The sequence below is a fragment of the Homo sapiens genome, chromosome 17 (assembly GCF_000001405.40).
Source record: "Homo sapiens chromosome 17, GRCh38.p14 Primary Assembly".
Classification (NCBI taxonomy): domain Eukaryota; kingdom Metazoa; phylum Chordata; class Mammalia; order Primates; family Hominidae; genus Homo; species Homo sapiens.
Window position 1 is genome coordinate 44010269 of NC_000017.11, and position 16492 is coordinate 44026760.

Below are 16492 nucleotides of genomic sequence, written 5' to 3' on the forward strand. Positions count from 1 at the left end.
TCCAGCCTGGGTGACAGTGAGACTCTGTCTCAAAAAAAACAAAAAACAAACAAACAAACAAAACCGTAGTCCCAGCTACTCGGGAGGCTGAGGCAGGAGAATGGCATGAACCCGGGAAGCGGAGCTTGCAGTGAGCAGAGATCACGCCACAGCACTCCAGCCTAGGTGACAGAGCAAGACTCCGTCTCAAAAAAAAAGGGAGAAGGTCAACAGGGAGACCATCATGGCACAGTAGGGGCTGGAATAGAGCAGCCTCTGTCTCCCCTCAGGAGATGGGTCACAGTGAGTACATATCTGGACTTCACCATTAGACAGACCTGACCTGGAATCCAGCTCTGTGGGCTGGATTTGCTCTGTGGCTTGACCGAAACTGCTTATCCTCTCTGAGCCTCCATTTCCTTCATGTATAAAGTGTAAAATATTCCACTTCACAGTGGACACTTCACAGTTCTCTCCCTCTAGCTGCTCTCACCAAAGATGTCTTCATAAGAACCAGCTCCAAATGGGGAGAAAAAGACAACCTACAACAAGAGGGACTGAGGTGAGGGATTGAAAGCATATAGTACAATGAGGATTTTGAGATTCTTGAAAAAGAGAGCCACTGGGCACAGTGGCTTATGCCTGTAGTCCCAGCACTTTGGGAGGCTGAGGCTGAGGCTGGAGAATCACTTGAGCCAAGGAGTCTGAAACCAGCCTGGACAACAAAGTGAGACCTTGTCTCTAAAAAATAAAGAAGTGAAAAATTAAAAAAAAAAAGAAAGAGAGAGAGCCAAAGAACTGTGGGAAATCTTGGAACAGGGGAAAGATCACGGGAGGCCCAAGGTGGGGCTTGACCAGATCTAGTGTTTCAAGAAACCCAAGATCAATCCCAGCCAATGGCAGAGTTCCCTGTTGGGGAGAACAGAAAAGCAAAACCAAATGTCTATATAAAATGTTTATTTTTGGAGGACTGTGTGGTCTGGTGTTTGGGAGGGAACTCCACCCCCACCAGGCCAACCATGGAGCTAGAAACAGAGACAGCAGGAAGGGCAAAGCTGGCCACTGCCTGCTCCACCCCTTCACAGCCCAGAGCAGAACAGGGTCTGCTCTACTCTCAAGGTGAGTGACAGAGAGCCGGTACTGTTTCTGCCCCTGGCATACCCTGAGAACCCATGTGACTTCTGTAGTGCTCAGCCCCTGTGCCCTTCCTGGGCCTGATCCACATGTGTCAACACACGCACTCCCTCTCACAGTCTCCAAACAGCACTGCAGAGCCTAGCTGCATCTGCCAGGTTCAAAGAGGAATTTTTCACATTTGCTCACTTCCAATCTCCATCTTCCTTCCTCTGTCTCCCACTCTCCCACTCTCAGTAGCCGCATCCCAGCCCTGCCATACTCCCTTCTCAGGGACAGGAGACTCAGTGGGCAGCTGGCCTCAGCTCTCCTAACAGGAAAAAAACCTGTACAGCATTAGTGCCAGGGCTCCTGCCCTCCCAAGCGCTGAGCCCAGAAATTTGGACAAATGAGCTGCCTCTTAACTGCAAAAAACAATTTTAAAAAAGCAAAAGATCAAACAAACAGACCAAAAAGCATAAATAAACAGCAGCTGGGCCAGCAAGGAGGAAGGCAGGGTGACCCTCAGTGGCTCCCTGTGCCCATCTCAGCCTCTTGCCATAAAACTCAGCCATCAGTGGCCAGGATGACAGCAGTTCCGAAGATGCCCACACTCTCTCCAAGGAGCTTCATCTGGTTCCAGAACTCAACACGCCGCGTGTTGTGCCAGTAAGCAACATTGCCATCAATGAGCAGCATGACAGGGGGCAGCAGTACAGCCAGGATCTGGGCAGCGAGGGTCACGTAGTAGCCTGACAGAAAGGCCAGGGCCAGGATGCCATACAGCACGAAGAACAGCTGGATCATCAGCTCCCCTCCTGGGAGATGGTTCAGATACGCCAGCCGGTCCTCCTTGCTGTGCTGCAGTGAGTAGGCCTGGAGACATAACATCCTCTAAGACTCTCCAACAGGCTCAGAAGCCTGTCTGGGGTAAACCACCCCTGAGATGGCACCTGCAAATGAGTCCCTGCAGATGGGCTTCTGACTCCCCTCTTGGACTGGGGAACCTCTGAAAGTAGGGCCTTTGTCTCCCCCTCGGACTATGGAGCCCCAGGAGATTAGGGCCCATGTCTCCCCTCACCCTAGGGGCTATGAAGGAAGTGTATTTCCACAGTCAGACTAGAGCTCCCACCTCTGAATATGGGAGCCCACACAGAGAGCTGTACAGAGATATACTCGGTAATTAAGATAAGACCTAATGGCCTGGCGCCTGTCCATGTCTCCAGTCACCCTGGCCTCCCCTAGCACCAGGGAGAACCATAAGTGGCTACCCTAGAGCTCTCATCAGCTCTAGGGGGCAGAGTCCCAGCTGGGGCCTGACCCCCACCAAACCTCTCCTTTATCCCCTTCTAGTCCTTTGGGGGCTGGAGCCATGAGAGAATCACCCCATCTTGTTCTCCTGGCTCTCAGGGTTGAAATTTAATGGCCAGTCTACCTCGTGGCAACACTGTTGGAGGAAGGGCCTCTCAACAGGCATTTGGAGGGCCCCTGAGGCCTAGAAGCTGGCCAGGGCAATTCCCAGGGAACTGGGCCATCAGGAACTGCACTCAGGGCCTCGTTCTGTGTCTACCTTCCTGGGGTTCTGCCATGCCTAGACTCACAGTTCACTCCCAGCCAGGCACCTCCAACCAACAGTCCCCCAACATACCACACAGATGAGGTAGATACCCAGGAACACCTGGCCGGTGGACTGCAGGGAGCGGCTGCGAGGTTTCCGGCGGTACAGCTCCCCAGCACCGCTGGCCAACACAAGAAAGCCGCCGATGATGGCAACTGTGCGCGAGTACATACGGACCTAGGCCGGGGTAAGGGGACCCCAGTCAAGAACTGCAGCCGCCACATCTCTCCTGGCTTCCCAGAGTGTAGAACCACCCCTCTCTACACATCCCATTCCATCTGATGAACCCTCTTACATTTCCAAGCTTGGTGGGCAGGTGCAACAGAGACAGATCATTCTTTTTATATATATATAGAAGTAGAAACTGAGGCCCAGAGGGTTAAGAAAACTGTCAGGTCTGGCCAGGCGCAGTGGCTCACGCCTGTAATCCCAGCACTTTGGGAGGCCGAGGCAGGTGGATCACCCTGAGGTCAGGAGTTTGAGACTAGCCTGGCCAACATGAGGAAACCCTGTCTACTGAAAATACAAAAATTAGTCGGGCGTGGGGAAGGGCGCCTGTAATCCCAACTACTTGGGAGACTGAGGCAGGAGAATCGTTTGAACCTGGAAGGCGGAGGTTGCAGTGAGTTGAGACAGCGTCACTGCACTCCAGCCTGGGCGACGGAGAGAGACTCTGTTTCAAAAAACAACAACAAAAAAGAAAACTGGCAGGTCCTACCTGCCAGTAAGTGGCAGAACCCAGACACAATGTGTTTCTCCCTTCCCCACTCTCAGATCTGTAGACTCTAATCTTGGTGTTCTTTATTCTACATGGCATGGGATCTATGCCACAAAAACATTGATCTTGCTGCCCTGTAGCTGTTCACACATCTTCCTCCCCTAAGGGTCTGACAGTCTCTTCCTCAAGGACAGTGCCTTTGTCCAACCTTATCTCCAGCCTGCAGGGCCTGGCACAGGTTCTGGCTTAAATGCTATACTAACAGTAATTACATTTTCATAAAATTTATTTTATGAAAACTAGGTACTCTCCAAGGTCCTTTGTACCCCATGAGTCTGAGATTACTAAACTAACAGTTTAAAAGATTCTGGGAACCAGGTGACCGGGGTTCTGGTCCCACCAGTATCCTGTATTGTGGCTTTGGGAAAGTCTGTTTCCCATCTCTAGACCTCAGTTTCCACACTTTGAAGAGGAAGTTTGTGTGGTCTCTAAGATCCATTTCTGCGCTCTGTAATCTCCATAAGCCAAGGGGTTCGAACCTCCCAGGCTTCACACTGTGCAGCTGGCCAGCACCATTCATCGCCCACCAACAGCCCTGGGCATTGGCCTCTGATTCCCCGTCACCCAGAGGGAAGACCCTTTTGGGGCCGAGGCGCTCACCTTCAGCCAGTCCCCGTAGTGGACGTAGCCCCCGATGTAGGCGGCGTAGGTGCTAATGGCCAATTGGAGTGCGGCCCCCAGCGCGAACCAGCGCCGCTTCACGCCAAAGGACATGAAACTAGCGCACAGCACGGCTGCCCCCATGTCGAAATACAGGTAAGGCACTGGGATGTCGGGCTTCCTGCGAGCCGGGAGTGGGGAAGCAACGAGGACAGAATGAAGCGGTGGGGGAAGAAGCTTGAGACCCCTTGAGTTCCCACAGGCTCCACTGCTCCCCCAAACCAGACTCCCCTCCCATGGGCAGGACCGCCCTACCAGATTTGGTCCGACACCCAGACCAGAACCCCTCCCAGGGAGGTCCCAATTCCTCCCAGTTCAAGGGTCCCGACTTCTAGCCCCCAATTTCTTGCCCACATCACCGCCCCCTGCCGCGTTTAGCGGCTGCGTAGGCCTGCTCACCGGCGTGCCTCAGCCCTCTCAGCGTACAGCATGAGCTGGCTGAAGCAGCCCCAAAAGGGGCAGCGTGTGAGCAGCACCGAACCCAACTGCATGATCAGCTGCAACATCCACCGTCTCGAACCTATCTTCGACGCCATCTTGGGAAAGGGCAGTCCGCTGCGGCCTCACCCCAGTCAGAGAAGCAGGCGCGGGGATGGGACACGCAGCTTCCGGGTCAAGCGCTTTTTCTTTTTCCTCCCGGAAACAACGGTGTCATTCTCTAGTTCCGGATCTAAGGTGACCCAGTTGCGAAGTCCAGCCTTCTCGTCTGCTCATGGAGCCTTCAGGGCCATATTTGTCCCTGCGAATTTGAAAACTAGACTAGAGGAAGGAACAGTGGGTTCAGGATAGCAGAAGTCTTGGACCGTAGTATGATGTATTGAAGCAAACTGGTCTTTGAATGCAGCCCGATCAGGGCCCTAATCCTGATTCCAACCCTGTGTGATTCTGGGCACATCACCTAAACTTTATGAGACTCATCATGAAATGGGGATAATTACACCTACCTCAGAGTTGTGAACTTTTTTTTTCTTTTTTTTTTGTTTTGTTTTGTTTTTGAGACGGAGTCTCACTCTGTCGCCTAGGCTGGAGTGCAATGGCACGATCTTGGCTCACTGTAACCTCCGCAACCTGGGTTCAAGCGATTCTCCTGCCTCAGCCTCCTGAGTAGCTGAGACTACAGGCTCTCGCCACCACGCCCGGCTAATTTTTTGTATTTTTAGTAGAGACGGAGTTTCACCGTCTTAGCCAGGATGGTCTCGATCTCCTGACTTCGTGATCCGCCCGCCTCGGCCTCCCAAAGTGCTGGGATTACAGGCATGAGCCACCGCGCCAGGCCAGAGTTGTGAACTTTAAATGTGACAAGGTCGGTCCTAGTACATAGTAGTGGTTCAATAAATGATACACATAACGCACCAGAGGAAACCCCCGTTTCTGTTAAGATCAAAGTAAGGGGTCCTCCTGGCTCAAAGTCACCTCTTTGGGTTTGCCTTTTGCCTGTGCCCTGAGAGAAAAAGGAGATCTGAACATCTGGGACATCTCAAGTCAGTCCATTTCTCCAGCTGCCATGCTCCCGCTGTAACCCAAATTGTCATACTTTGTCAGTTTAATTGCAGCAGACATCCAGGTGGTCTCTGCATTCCCCTCCAGTGTGTTCTCAGCCCCTTCTCCCACGCCCCACCCGTTTATATGTTCTCATAACATCAGCTACCTTCCTTTGAATCACTTGGCACGGTGGCAATTAGATAGATAGATAGATATAGATACACACGCACACACACACACACACACATATATATATATCTGCTTTACATATATATGCTTTTTTTTTATTTTTGAGACAGGGTCTCACTGTGTCACCCAGGCTGGAGTGCAGTGGTGCGATCTTGGCTCACTACAGCCTACACCTCCCAGGTTCAAGCGATTCTCCTGCCTCAGCTTCCCAAGTAGCTGGGATTACTGGCGCTTGCCACCACACCCGGCTAATTTTTATTTTTAGTGGAGACAGGGTTTCACCATGTTGGCCAGGCTGCTCTCGAACTCCTAACCTCAAGCGATCCAACCGCCTTGGCCTCCCAAAGCGCTAGGATTACAGGCGTGAGACACCGCACCCAGCCAATATATTTGTGATTGTTTTATTGACAATCTTCCCCTACTAGATCGCAAGCTCCCTAAGCACAAACACGGTGCCTGGGTTTCTGTTTACTGTTTACAGATGCTCCTTGACTTGTGATGGAGTTATATCCTGATAAACCCATCATAGGTTGAAAATACTGTAAGTTGAAAATGTGTGGCTGACTGGAAGCTGTGGCTTGCTGACACTGCCCAGCATTGTAAGAGAAATACAGTTTCCACTGAATGCAGATCTGCTTTCGCACCAATGTAAAGTTGAAAACTCCAATGCTGGGAACCATCTGTAGTATACAGGATGCCCTCAGGACCTAGTATACAGGATGCCCTCAGGAAATATGTGCTGTACAGATAAATGAAAAGGTGTTGGGCTGGGCGCGGTGGCTAACGCCTGTGATCCCAGCACTTTAGGAGGCCGAGTCGGGTGGATCACGAGGTCAGGAGTTCAAGACCAGCCTGGCCAAGATGGTGAAACCCCGTCTCTACTAAAAATACAAAAATTAGCCAGACGTGATGGCTGTAATCCCAGCTACTCCGGGCGCCTGTAGTCCCAGCTACTTGGGAGGCTGAGGCAGGAGAATCGCTTGAACCTGGGCGGCGGACCTTGCAGTGAGCCGAGATCACGCCACTGCACTCCAGCCTGGGCGACAGATTGAGAGACTCTGTCTCAAAAAAAAAAAAAAAATTCCCACCAGGCCGGGTGTGGTGGCTCACGCCTATTATCCCAGCAGTTTGGGAGGCCAAGTGGGGGGTTGGATCACCTGAGGTTAGGGGTTCGAGACCAGCGTGGCCAACATGGTGAAAACCCATCTCTACTAAAGATACAAAAAATTAGGCTGGGCACGGTGGCTCATGCCTGTAATCCCAGCACTTTGGGAGGCCAAGGATCACGAGGTCAGGAGATCGAGACCATCCTGACTAACACAGTGAAACCCCGTCTCTACTAAAAATACAAAAAAAATTAGCCAGGAGTGGTGGCAGGCGCCTGCAGTCCCAGCTACTCGGGAGGCTGAGGCAGGTGAATAGCGTGAACACAGGAGGCAGAGCTTACAGTGAGCCGAGATCGCGCCACTGCACTCCAGCCTGGGTGACAAGGTGAGACAACATCTCAAAAAAAAAAAAAAAAAAAAAAAGCCAGGCATGGTGGGAGGCACCTGTAATTCCAGCTACTTGGGAGGCTGAGGCAGGAGAATTGCTTGAATCTGGGAGACGGAGGTTGGAGTGAGCCAAGTTCGCGCCATTGCACTCCAGCCTGGGCGACAAGAGCGAAACTCTTGTCTCAAAAAAAAAAAAAAATTCCCAACCAGCCAGTGAAAGGTGGGCAATAAAACCCCTTTTCACATTTCATTTTAAACCGGCCACTAGGGTCGGGCATGGTGGCTCACACCTGTAATCCCAGAACTTTGGAAGGCAGAGGCACGGGTGGATCACTTGAGGCCAGAAGTTCGAGACCAGCCTGGCCAACATGGCAAAACCCCATCTCTACTAAAAATTAGCTGGGCATGGTGGCGGGAGCCTGTGATCCCAACTATTCAGGAGGCTGAGGCAGAAGGATCGCTTGAACCTGGGAGGAGGTAGTTGCAGTGAGTCGAGATCGCACCACTGCACTCCAGGCTGGATGACAGAGCAAGACTCTATCTCATAAATAAACAAACACAGTCACTAGGATAAGGTCTGGGTAAATCAGAAAGACCATGAGAAGCCAGGCATGGTGGCCCACATCTGTAATCCAGCTACTCAGGAGGTTGAGGCAAGAGGATTCCTCGAGGAGTTTGAGGCTGCATTGAGCTATGATTGCACTACTGCACTCCACCCTGGGTGACAAAGCAAGACCCCCATCTCTAAAAAGTAAAAAAACACGAGAGAGGAACATATAGATGCAAAGAACTAGGGAATGAGATTGTATACGTGTATGTTGGAGGGTGGGGAGGTCTCTAGGCAAGGAGAATGAGAAAAAGTCTGGGTTAAAGGTAATTTTGTCTATCTCTACCCACCAGTGACAACCACACAAAACAAATTTCCTTTACCACAATATAGGCACATAGTACAGAATCAACTTTCCAGTTGGTTTTATTTTTCCAGTCTCCTCACCTCTCCGTTTCAAATGGCTGAGGTGTACAGCCCTAAAGTGTTGACGAGGACCAGAACCAGGATTGTGTACAACATGTCCATAAAATAGTCCTAGGAGTCTGCCTGGGTTGTCCCTATAGGCACAATGCCCCACCCTCCCATCATAACCTTAGCAAGCAGTTTCCAATCAAGTCTCCAGCAGCAGTGGCCAGGGACTTGTGTCAGGGGGAGGGGAAGATTGGATTGAGGAAGCTTGCCTTGGTACCCACTGCGCCCCTTCTCAGGGCTGAAGTCCCTCTCTACCTTTTCCTGCTCTTTCCTCTTTCCCAGAGGGATACTGAGAAGGGAAGGACCTGGGGCCAAATCCTCATTTCTAGGGTTGGGACAGATGCTGGCATGCTATCAGGCCAGAAGAGGGGGATGGGTGGGTGGCCTGGCCCCTGAGAAATGAACACAGCCATTTGTCCCTGTGGTCCCCCCACTCCCAGTTCCTCCTACCCCTGCCTAGTGTTCTGTGCGAGAGACGAGTGAGGGGAGAAGAAAAGGCACACATACAATACCTTTAAGGGTAAACAAGCTTTATCCCACATAAATGGCAATGCAGATATAATAAGCAAATGATATAGTAAGCAAGTTGCAATGGGAAGGGGAGAAAGGAAAAGAGATATATGTATTTATACTCACCAGACTATGGAGGATTCACCACCAGACTGGGAAGCAACAGCAACAGCCTGGGCTCGAGAGTCGGACACTGCACTCACCAGACTATGGCGGATTCACCACCAGACTAGGAAACAACAGCCTGGGCTCCAGAGTCGGCCACTCGTCCGTGCACAGACGAGGAGAGGTCTCATGAAGCTTCGGCACAATCTAGGACCCTAGCTCTTTTGTAATGAGTTGTTTGGCATGAGCTCCAGGCACGAGGGCCCTTCATGACCAGGCTCAAGGAACATAAAAAGGTCAACTTGTTTTTGCGATTGTCTGTTGTTTTTCAATAACTAACATATAGGAATAGATTGAAATAGAGATTTATCTGAAACAGCGCTGGATGAATGCCTCAAGGGGCTCACACAACCTGTTCCGGGACTTGGTGACCATTGTTTGTGTCCATGTTCAATTGAGTTCAAATTTAATATTTAACTTTTCCTCCACATTTGGCCTCAATCTGATACTCAACTGTAGGAAAATACTCTTACGGATACACAGGGAAGCCACAATTGATATAGATTACAGATACAGGGTAAGCACAGGAGAACTAAAAGCATAATTAATAAAAACCACACCCCTCATGGCTTTGCAAGGAGATTCATATTGTGAGAATTGTCAGGGATATACACATAACATTCAGGATGCAGTAAGGGGCAAACCTTTCCTTGGGCTGCAGTAAGCAAACCTAATGCCATTTGACTTTGCAACATGACAGTACACAGCTGAGCAAATTTATCTGATTACAACATAAGTTCCATGCTACTATCATTAAGAGCTTTTTCTACATGTAAGCTGAATGTTTGAATTTGTTGCTGAAGCAGGATTGTACCGGTGGCAGGGGAGAATACTGTGATAGGGTACCGTCACCAGGGAGTCCGGCGCATTCATAACCAGCAATGTTTGTAAGCATCTAGATTACTGGGGAGAGAAATATTATCCCAGATGGTGAATGGAATTAATGGCCACCCCCAAGTGTGTCTCCCCGTCCAAGCAGGTATTGCCACCTGTAGGATTCGCATACCTAGAGGGCCCCCCAGGGAACAGGAAGAGTTCTCCTATAATTGTATCGCTGTAATGTGTAATTGAAGTAACAAAGGTGCTGTGTTTTGTTTGGGCAAGGGCAAAAATAGACTGTTTGGTTAAAAGAAGTCCAGGTTGGATTTCAAGTGTTATCCCGGGCCAGGCGCGGTGGCTCACACCTGCAATCCCAGCACTTTGGGAGGCCGAGGAGGGCAGATCACCTGAACTCAGGAGTTTGACATCAGCCTGGGCAATATGGTGAAACCCCGTCTCTACTAAAAATACAAAAAATTAGCCAGGCGTGGCGACATGCACCTATAATCCCAGCTACTTGGGAGGCTGAGGCAGGAGAGTCGCTTGAACCCAGGAGGCAGAGGTTGCACTGAGCCAAGATCGTGCCACTGCACTCCAGCCTGGGCGACAGAGAGACACTCTGGCTCAAAAAATCAAAACAAAACCAAGTGTTATCCCACTCCCATTGGTATTGGCATATCCATTCAGAAATGTTAGCAGGGACAATTCTCCAAGGTAGCCCATTCCCAGCGGCCTCTGGCAACTCAACACAGAGCCAGCACTGACTGCAGTTGGCTTCTATTGCAGCAGTGGCTACCCAGTTGATGAACTCATTCTCAGCCTCAGACATGGTGATCCAGGTGCTGATTACTAGCAGACAGGTTATTCTCTGTAGTAACAAAAATGGAGGGGAACATGATACTGTTTTTCATCTTTAGGAAATTGTACTGTGCCTTCATATTCTGCTCCAATAGCTACAAGGTCAGCAGTCTTAGGGGCAGGATCTGATGGACACTGTACCCATATTTTAGCTCCAGGATTTAAGTTGCCCACTCTGGTGGACCTGAATGTTCCGTTCTATATGTTGTTTCTATTGGGGTGGAAATTTCCTCGGGGGTTGTTGACAAGATACCACTAACAATTGAGCAACCTGCATCTGCGGTTTTATAGCAAAAGAATCTGGAGTGGTATTGTATAAAATGACCTTTAACTCTCCCCGGTAATCACTATCAATTATAGCACCATACATTATAATGCCTCTCATTGCAAGGTTTGACCATGTTGTAATCCATTCATCCGCATTCAAGTTTGCAGTTATGGTGGAAATTTTGGCCTGTTGATCTGCCTGCTGATTAAATAGTCTGTCAAGAAAAAGCAGAGACGCATGAGCACCAACATGGCAAACAGAGATAATGGTAGTGTGCGCAAGGATTCAGATATCTTCCCAGTATTGTTTTCCCCAAACCTCTTTATTCCCAATTAACCATTTGTTTCGTTGCCACTGGGGCATCCTAGTAGTGAGACCGTTTGCTACTGACCAAGTTTTTCTACAAGTGACAAATCCCTCTGGCCTCCTCCTGAAGAGCTTCGAGGACGGCTACCAATTCAGCCAGCTGGCTGCTCCCACCACTTCCTTCATCAGAACCGGTGAGTTTTGGGAGAACTCATGACCCAAGTCATAATCATAAAGACATCATGGTTGAAGCAGAGGTGCTCCGTTTCCAGCAAAGCCCAACAGCAAGCTAACAATTTCTTGAAAGGGGTATAAGCTTTGCCGGCCTCTGGCAGCTTCCAGGTCCAAAACTCCAAAGATACCCTCTTCCCATCTTGTTTCTGCCTAAGGCTCCAATTAGCATGTTGATTTAGGACAGTTACTTGCAGTTCTACTGGGCCATCACCATAGGGACCACAGATCTAGGGTCAGTTGCACTGCTTGTTTAGCTTGTTCAAAAGCCATGGTCTCTTTCTCTCCCCAGTGAAAGTCATAGCGTTTTCTAATGACTGCATGCAGAGGTTGTAAAATGTTACCCAAATGGGGAATATGACGTTTCCAGAATCCAAACAAGCCAATTTCTGGGCTTCCTTTTTATTGGTAGGGGTTGCAAATTCTAGTATTTTAGCCTTAGCCTTTGGTAAAACGGATTATTTCCCTTATTCCATAGGATGCCAAGGAATTTGTTTGTGCAGGTCCTTGAATTTTACTAGGGTTAATTTCCCATCTTTGAGATAGGAGCTGGGTTTGTACCTGCTCCAAACCCTGGCTGACTACTTCTTCAGTACTTCTACTTCCAGTACACTGACTGGGCCACTCAAACAGATGCTTTTTTCATCAATAGGCTGATAGCTTTGAGCCTGATCAGTCAAGACATAGGCCTGGCATTGGGCCAGGACCAGTCTGGAAGTCAGATTAGCATTTTCCTTTTCCAGCTTACATTTCTCCTGTAGCAACCAGTCCCTATCTTGACACATTAACTTATAAGCAGTAAGCAAGCACCATCCACGCAGGGAAATTCCCTCAGCATCCCCTTTACCAACTGGGATTCCCTGCAGCACTTCACGCACAAAGGTTCAAATTGCACTAATTTAGATTCCCAATTTTCACAAAGGCCAATTCCCTTGGACCACTCAATGGCCACGGGGAAGAACTGGGGGAGTTCCCATCCTTGGATATGGGAAGTCTCCAAGCTCCCAGCCTGGTCCTTGCAGCCGAAAAATGGCATGCTTTTTCTTTCGGATTCTGTTTGTGACACCAAAAATGTTCTGTGTGAGAGACGCATGAGGGGAGAAGAAAAGGTGCACACACAAAATACCTTTAAGGGTAAACTAGCTTTATCCCATGTAAATGGCAATGCAGATATAATAAGCGAATGATATAAGCAAATTAATATAATAAGCAAATGATACAATAAGCAAATTGCAATAGGAAGGGGAGAAGGGAAAAGAGATATATATATTTACACTCACCAGACTATGGAGGATTCACCACCAGTCTGGGAAGCAACAGCCTGGGCTCCAGAGTCGGCCACTCGTCCGTGCACAGACGAGGAGAGGTCTCATGAAGCTTCGGCGCAGTCTGGGACCCTAGCTCTTTTGTAACGAGTTGTTTGGCATGAGCTCCAGTCACAAGGGCCCTTCGTGACTGGGCTCAAGGAACACAAAAAGGTCAACTTGTTTTTGCGAGTGTCTATTGTTTTTCAATAACTAACGTATAGGAATAGATTGAAATAGAGATTTCTCCGAAACAGTGCTGGATGAATGCCTCAAGGGCTCACACAACCTGTTCCAGGACTTGGTGACCATTGTTTGTGTCCATGTTCAACTGAGTTCAAATTTAATATTTAACTTTTCCTCAGACAACTGAGGAAAAGTGTTTCCTCAACTTTTCCGCAGACAACTGAGCTCCACAGACTTCTGAGGAACTTCCCTTTTCCTCTCTCACACCTTCCTCTGCTCTCCCTCCTCCAGCTGCCTTGACCTTGCTCTGCAGCACCCCTTACCTCTCCAGAAAGCTCCCCAGCTCCCCGGCTTCTTGCGGGCCCTGTCTTCGCTTGCGCTCAGCCATCAGCACAGCCACAGCCACTGTGAGCAGCACGGTGCCTGTGATGCCCAGCACAGTGGCAGTCTCAGCCAGGCAAAGCTGGGCCTCCACACCACTCAGCACTGCCCCTGACAGCCTTTCGGGCCCAGCGCAAGTCAGGATGCCCAGGTCTACGACACTCAAGTGCCGCAGGTGACCCAACTTTCCGAAGGCTCACTGCAGGTCAGTCACGTGTCCAGGGGTTATCCAACAACAGCAGCCGCATGCCTGCTGTCCGGATGCCTGCCACTGCCTTGACCTCCAGGTGCTGCAGTCGGTTACCCAGGAGAGAGAAGGCCCAGTGCTCCTAAGGTTGCAAACGCCTCGGCCTCCAGCTCACTGATGTCATTCCCAGCTACAGAGAGGACTTCCAAGCCCGGCACAGTGGTCAGGGCAGCACCCTTCACCCGCTGCAGCTGGTTCCCAGCCAGCGAGAGCCAGTGTAGGTGGAAGAGGCCCCCAAAGACCCCTGCGGCCAGTTCAGCCAGCTGGTTGTGGCTCAGGTTGAGCTGCTCCAGGCCCCCCAGGCGCCACAGGCTGGTGGGGTCCAGGGAAGTGAGTAGGTTGTGAGAGAGGTCCAGGCAGAGCAGAGAGCCCAGGGTAGCCGAGAAGTCTGTGGGCAGATGGGCCAGCTGGTTATGGCTGAGGTTCAGCTGCTCCAGGAAACTGAGGCCCCCTAGGGCCCCATCAGACAGATCCCGCAGGATATTGAGAGAAAGCAGCAACACCCGCAGTCCCCAAAAGCCCTGGAGGCGCCAGCCGGCAGATGGCTGAGATTATTGTGGCTCAGCTCCAGGAGCCAGACTCCATCAGGCAGCCTGGAAGGGAGACAGAGCAGGTGGAGGCCCCCACAGTCCACCACGCTGCCTGAGGTAGGGCAGGTGCATGGTATTGGGCATGCTGCCACCAGACTCCTGAGAAAGACTGATGCCACCATGACTATAGCCATTGTGAGGGAGGTGTGGCCACACCCACCCCGTCCTTGCTGCATGAAGGGCTGGGGTGAGGATGGCATCAAGCACTCATGGCTGCTGAGACCTTCAGGCCTCACTCCTCCGCCTGGGACCCTGGCAAGCACAGTGATGCTAGGGGAGAAAAACACAAGTAGATGCCATTCGGGGTCTCACCATTTGCTGGGTGCCCAAACATCAACTCAAAGACACCCTGTCTCCACCTCCCATGATTTTAAATGTTACCTAAGCTTCTGGCAAGAACCCTCTTGGCCTGAGACCCCAGCATTCGGATCCCCCTCCCTTAACCACCTCTCATTCCTTCTTCCTGCTGGATGAGGAGCAATCAGGGAAGATGGCCTGTAATCCTCTGCACCTCCTTCCTCCCACCCCACACTGCAGCTCACTGACTTTCACCCCCACTCAGACTGTTCTCTCCCTCTTACTTTCCCGAAGGAAGAGGAGCAGGATCATCAATGGCACACGGCAGCTGCAGCAAAGCCACACCAACAGCCAGAGTCATGCTCAGGAGAGACTGTGCCTCCTCATAGTTACCACTGCTCTGCATGTTCAGAGAAGCTTATCTCGTAACTACAGCAATGATCACTGAGAGTACAAGCTTCTCACTGACTTTCTAGAGGGACCCAGGAGAAACTCTGCCTTCCCCGGCCCCCAAACATGCACTCAATTGCTCTCATGCAGCCAACATTTGTGGAGCTCCCGTTCTGCCAGAGGTCAGAGCATCAACTAGATCCTGGCCCTGTCTGGCCACTGAGGATAGGGCCTCAGGCTGTGAAAGTCCAATGCACTCACCTGTGTTCCTGGCAACACCTGCACCTGAGTGCAGCCCCAGCCCAGGAATGGCAGTGGAAAGAATCTGGGCTCTAGTTTCCTGCCTATCTGGCCTCCTCCCAGAGCCCAGCTCTCAGGGAAGCCGCAGCCCCAAGGGTGAGCATGTGGGACAGGCTTAGGAAATCCCCAGCCTTAAGGCCTTGCATCCAGGGGAGCAGAGCTCACCCCCAGCCTCTTTCCTCACTTCCTTCTGGAGACCCACAACCTGCTCTGTATCATCAGAATGGCAGCTTGAGGCCCCTTGGGGCCCTCCCTCAGTTCGGATAGGAGTCAGGTGTCTCCTCCTTCATTCTATACTGCCTGCCTGAGAAATCTGCCATCATCTATAATTCACCCAGGTCTTGTCTTAGGCACAAAGGAAGGGAATGCTTTTTCTTCTCACTAGGCCAAAAGTCAAAACACTTCATCCTGGCACTTGAGGGGTGCCCAGCATCTCCTGGAACACAGTATTTGTGCCTAGTACCTCTGCCTTGCTCTAGGAGCCCAAACGTCCTGTCCAGGTTTCCCAGAGTGCTCACTAGCCCTGCCCAGTGAACTCTTAAGAGAATAGTAACGGCCACACAGAAGGGCCAGGCATCTCGTTAAAGGCTTCATTTAATCCTCAACTGAGGAAAAGAACTCTTTTTTTTTTTTTTTTTTTTTTTTGAGACAAGATCTCACTCTGTCACCTAGACTGAAGTGCAGTGGTGTGATCATGGGCCACCACAGCCTTGACCTCCCAGGCTCAGGTGATCCTCCCACCTCAGCCTCCTGAGTAGCTGGGACTACAGGTATGTGCCACCAAGCCCAGCTAATTTTTGTATTTTTTGTAGAGATGGGGTTTCGCTGTGTTGCCCAGGCTGGTCTCCAACTCCTGGACTCAAGCGATCCTCCCACCTCAACCTCCCAAAGTGCTGGGATTTACAGGCGTAAGCCACTGTGCCCAGCCAGGGACTCTGATTTTACAGATGAGGAAACCAACGTTTGACAAAGCTAGTTAAGTTTCCAAGTCATACTGCTAGTTAGGGGCAAAAGTAAAATCTGACATAACTCAGGCCTGACAGAATCTAGTCATGCTTGGCAGAGCATGGTGGCTCATGCCTGCAATCTAAGCACCTTGGGAAGCCAAGGTGGGCAGACCACCTGAGGTCAGGAGTTCAAGACTAGCCTGGCTAACATGGTGAAATGCTGTCTCCAAAAACACAAAAAAATTAGCTAGGCGTGGTGGTGTGCGCCTGTAGTCCCAGCTACTGGGGAGGCTGAGGCAGAAGAATCACTTCAACCCAGGAGGTGGAGGCTGCAGTGAGCTGAGATTGTGCCACTGCACT

The 16492-nt window shown here is 50.6% G+C and overlaps 1 protein-coding gene and 1 pseudogene across 3 annotated transcripts, besides 4 other annotated features; both read right to left on the reverse strand.

Annotated features, from left to right (window-relative positions):
* Positions 920-12947, reverse strand: TMEM101 (transmembrane protein 101). Of its 3 annotated transcripts, none has more exons than NM_001304813.2 (5): positions 12771-12947; positions 4716-4887; positions 4089-4269; positions 2741-2887; positions 920-1968 (listed from the first exon to the last, which is right to left on the reverse strand). In NM_001304813.2, exons 3-5 carry the CDS (start codon positions 4230-4232, stop codon positions 1660-1662), a joined length of 600 nt encoding a protein of 199 aa, NP_001291742.1. In that variant the 5' UTR covers positions 4233-4269; positions 4716-4887; positions 12771-12947; the 3' UTR covers positions 920-1659. The 3 variants fall into 3 exon arrangements, with proteins under 3 accessions (NP_001291742.1, NP_001291743.1, NP_115752.1); NM_001304814.2 differs by lacking the exon at positions 12771-12947 and adding an exon at positions 8970-9179; NM_032376.4 differs by lacking the exons at positions 4716-4887; positions 12771-12947 and adding an exon at positions 4548-4695.
* Positions 993-1287: a silencer, noted in NCBI's record as "tiled region #11566; K562 Repressive non-DNase unmatched - State 17:Gen3'". NCBI's record gives its function as "represses a minimal TATA promoter and a strong SV40 promoter by Sharpr-MPRA in K562 cells {active_cell/tissue: K562}" and the evidence as "EXISTENCE:reporter gene assay evidence [ECO:0000049][PMID:27701403]".
* Positions 3838-5037: an enhancer, noted in NCBI's record as "BRD4-independent group 4 enhancer chr17:42091474-42092673 (GRCh37/hg19 assembly coordinates)". NCBI's record gives its function as "activates an origin of replication core promoter dependent on BRD2, P300/CBP, MED14 and CDK7 cofactors, and independent of BRD4, by STARR-seq in HCT116 cells {active_cell/tissue: HCT116}" and the evidence as "EXISTENCE:reporter gene assay evidence [ECO:0000049][PMID:35650434]".
* Positions 6373-6667: a silencer, noted in NCBI's record as "tiled region #15580; HepG2 Repressive non-DNase unmatched - State 18:Pol2". NCBI's record gives its function as "represses a minimal TATA promoter and a strong SV40 promoter by Sharpr-MPRA in HepG2 cells {active_cell/tissue: HepG2}" and the evidence as "EXISTENCE:reporter gene assay evidence [ECO:0000049][PMID:27701403]".
* On the reverse strand, positions 14752-14955 carry LOC124904152 (uncharacterized; annotated as a pseudogene).
* Positions 14787-15288: an enhancer, noted in NCBI's record as "H3K27ac hESC enhancer chr17:42102423-42102924 (GRCh37/hg19 assembly coordinates)". NCBI's record gives its function as "activates a minimal SCP1, AML or CMV promoter by ChIP-STARR-seq in naive H9 embryonic stem cells {active_cell/tissue: H9 hESC(naive)}" and the evidence as "EXISTENCE:reporter gene assay evidence [ECO:0000049][PMID:30033119]".

Bases quoted from the DNA above. Each gene is read 5' to 3' on its own strand.
- TMEM101 (NM_032376.4), bottom strand. From the start codon at position 4,684: ATGGCGTCGAAGATAGGTTCGAGACGGTGGATGTTGCAGCTGATCATG. The intron at 4,270-4,547 runs GTGAGCAGGCCT...CCCGGCTCGCAG, and splicing joins GAGAGGGCTGAGGCACGCCG to GAAGCCCGACATCCCAGTGC. The intron at 2,888-4,088 runs GTGAGCGCCTCG...ACCCCGGCCTAG, and splicing joins ACTACGGGGACTGGCTGAAG to GTCCGTATGTACTCGCGCAC.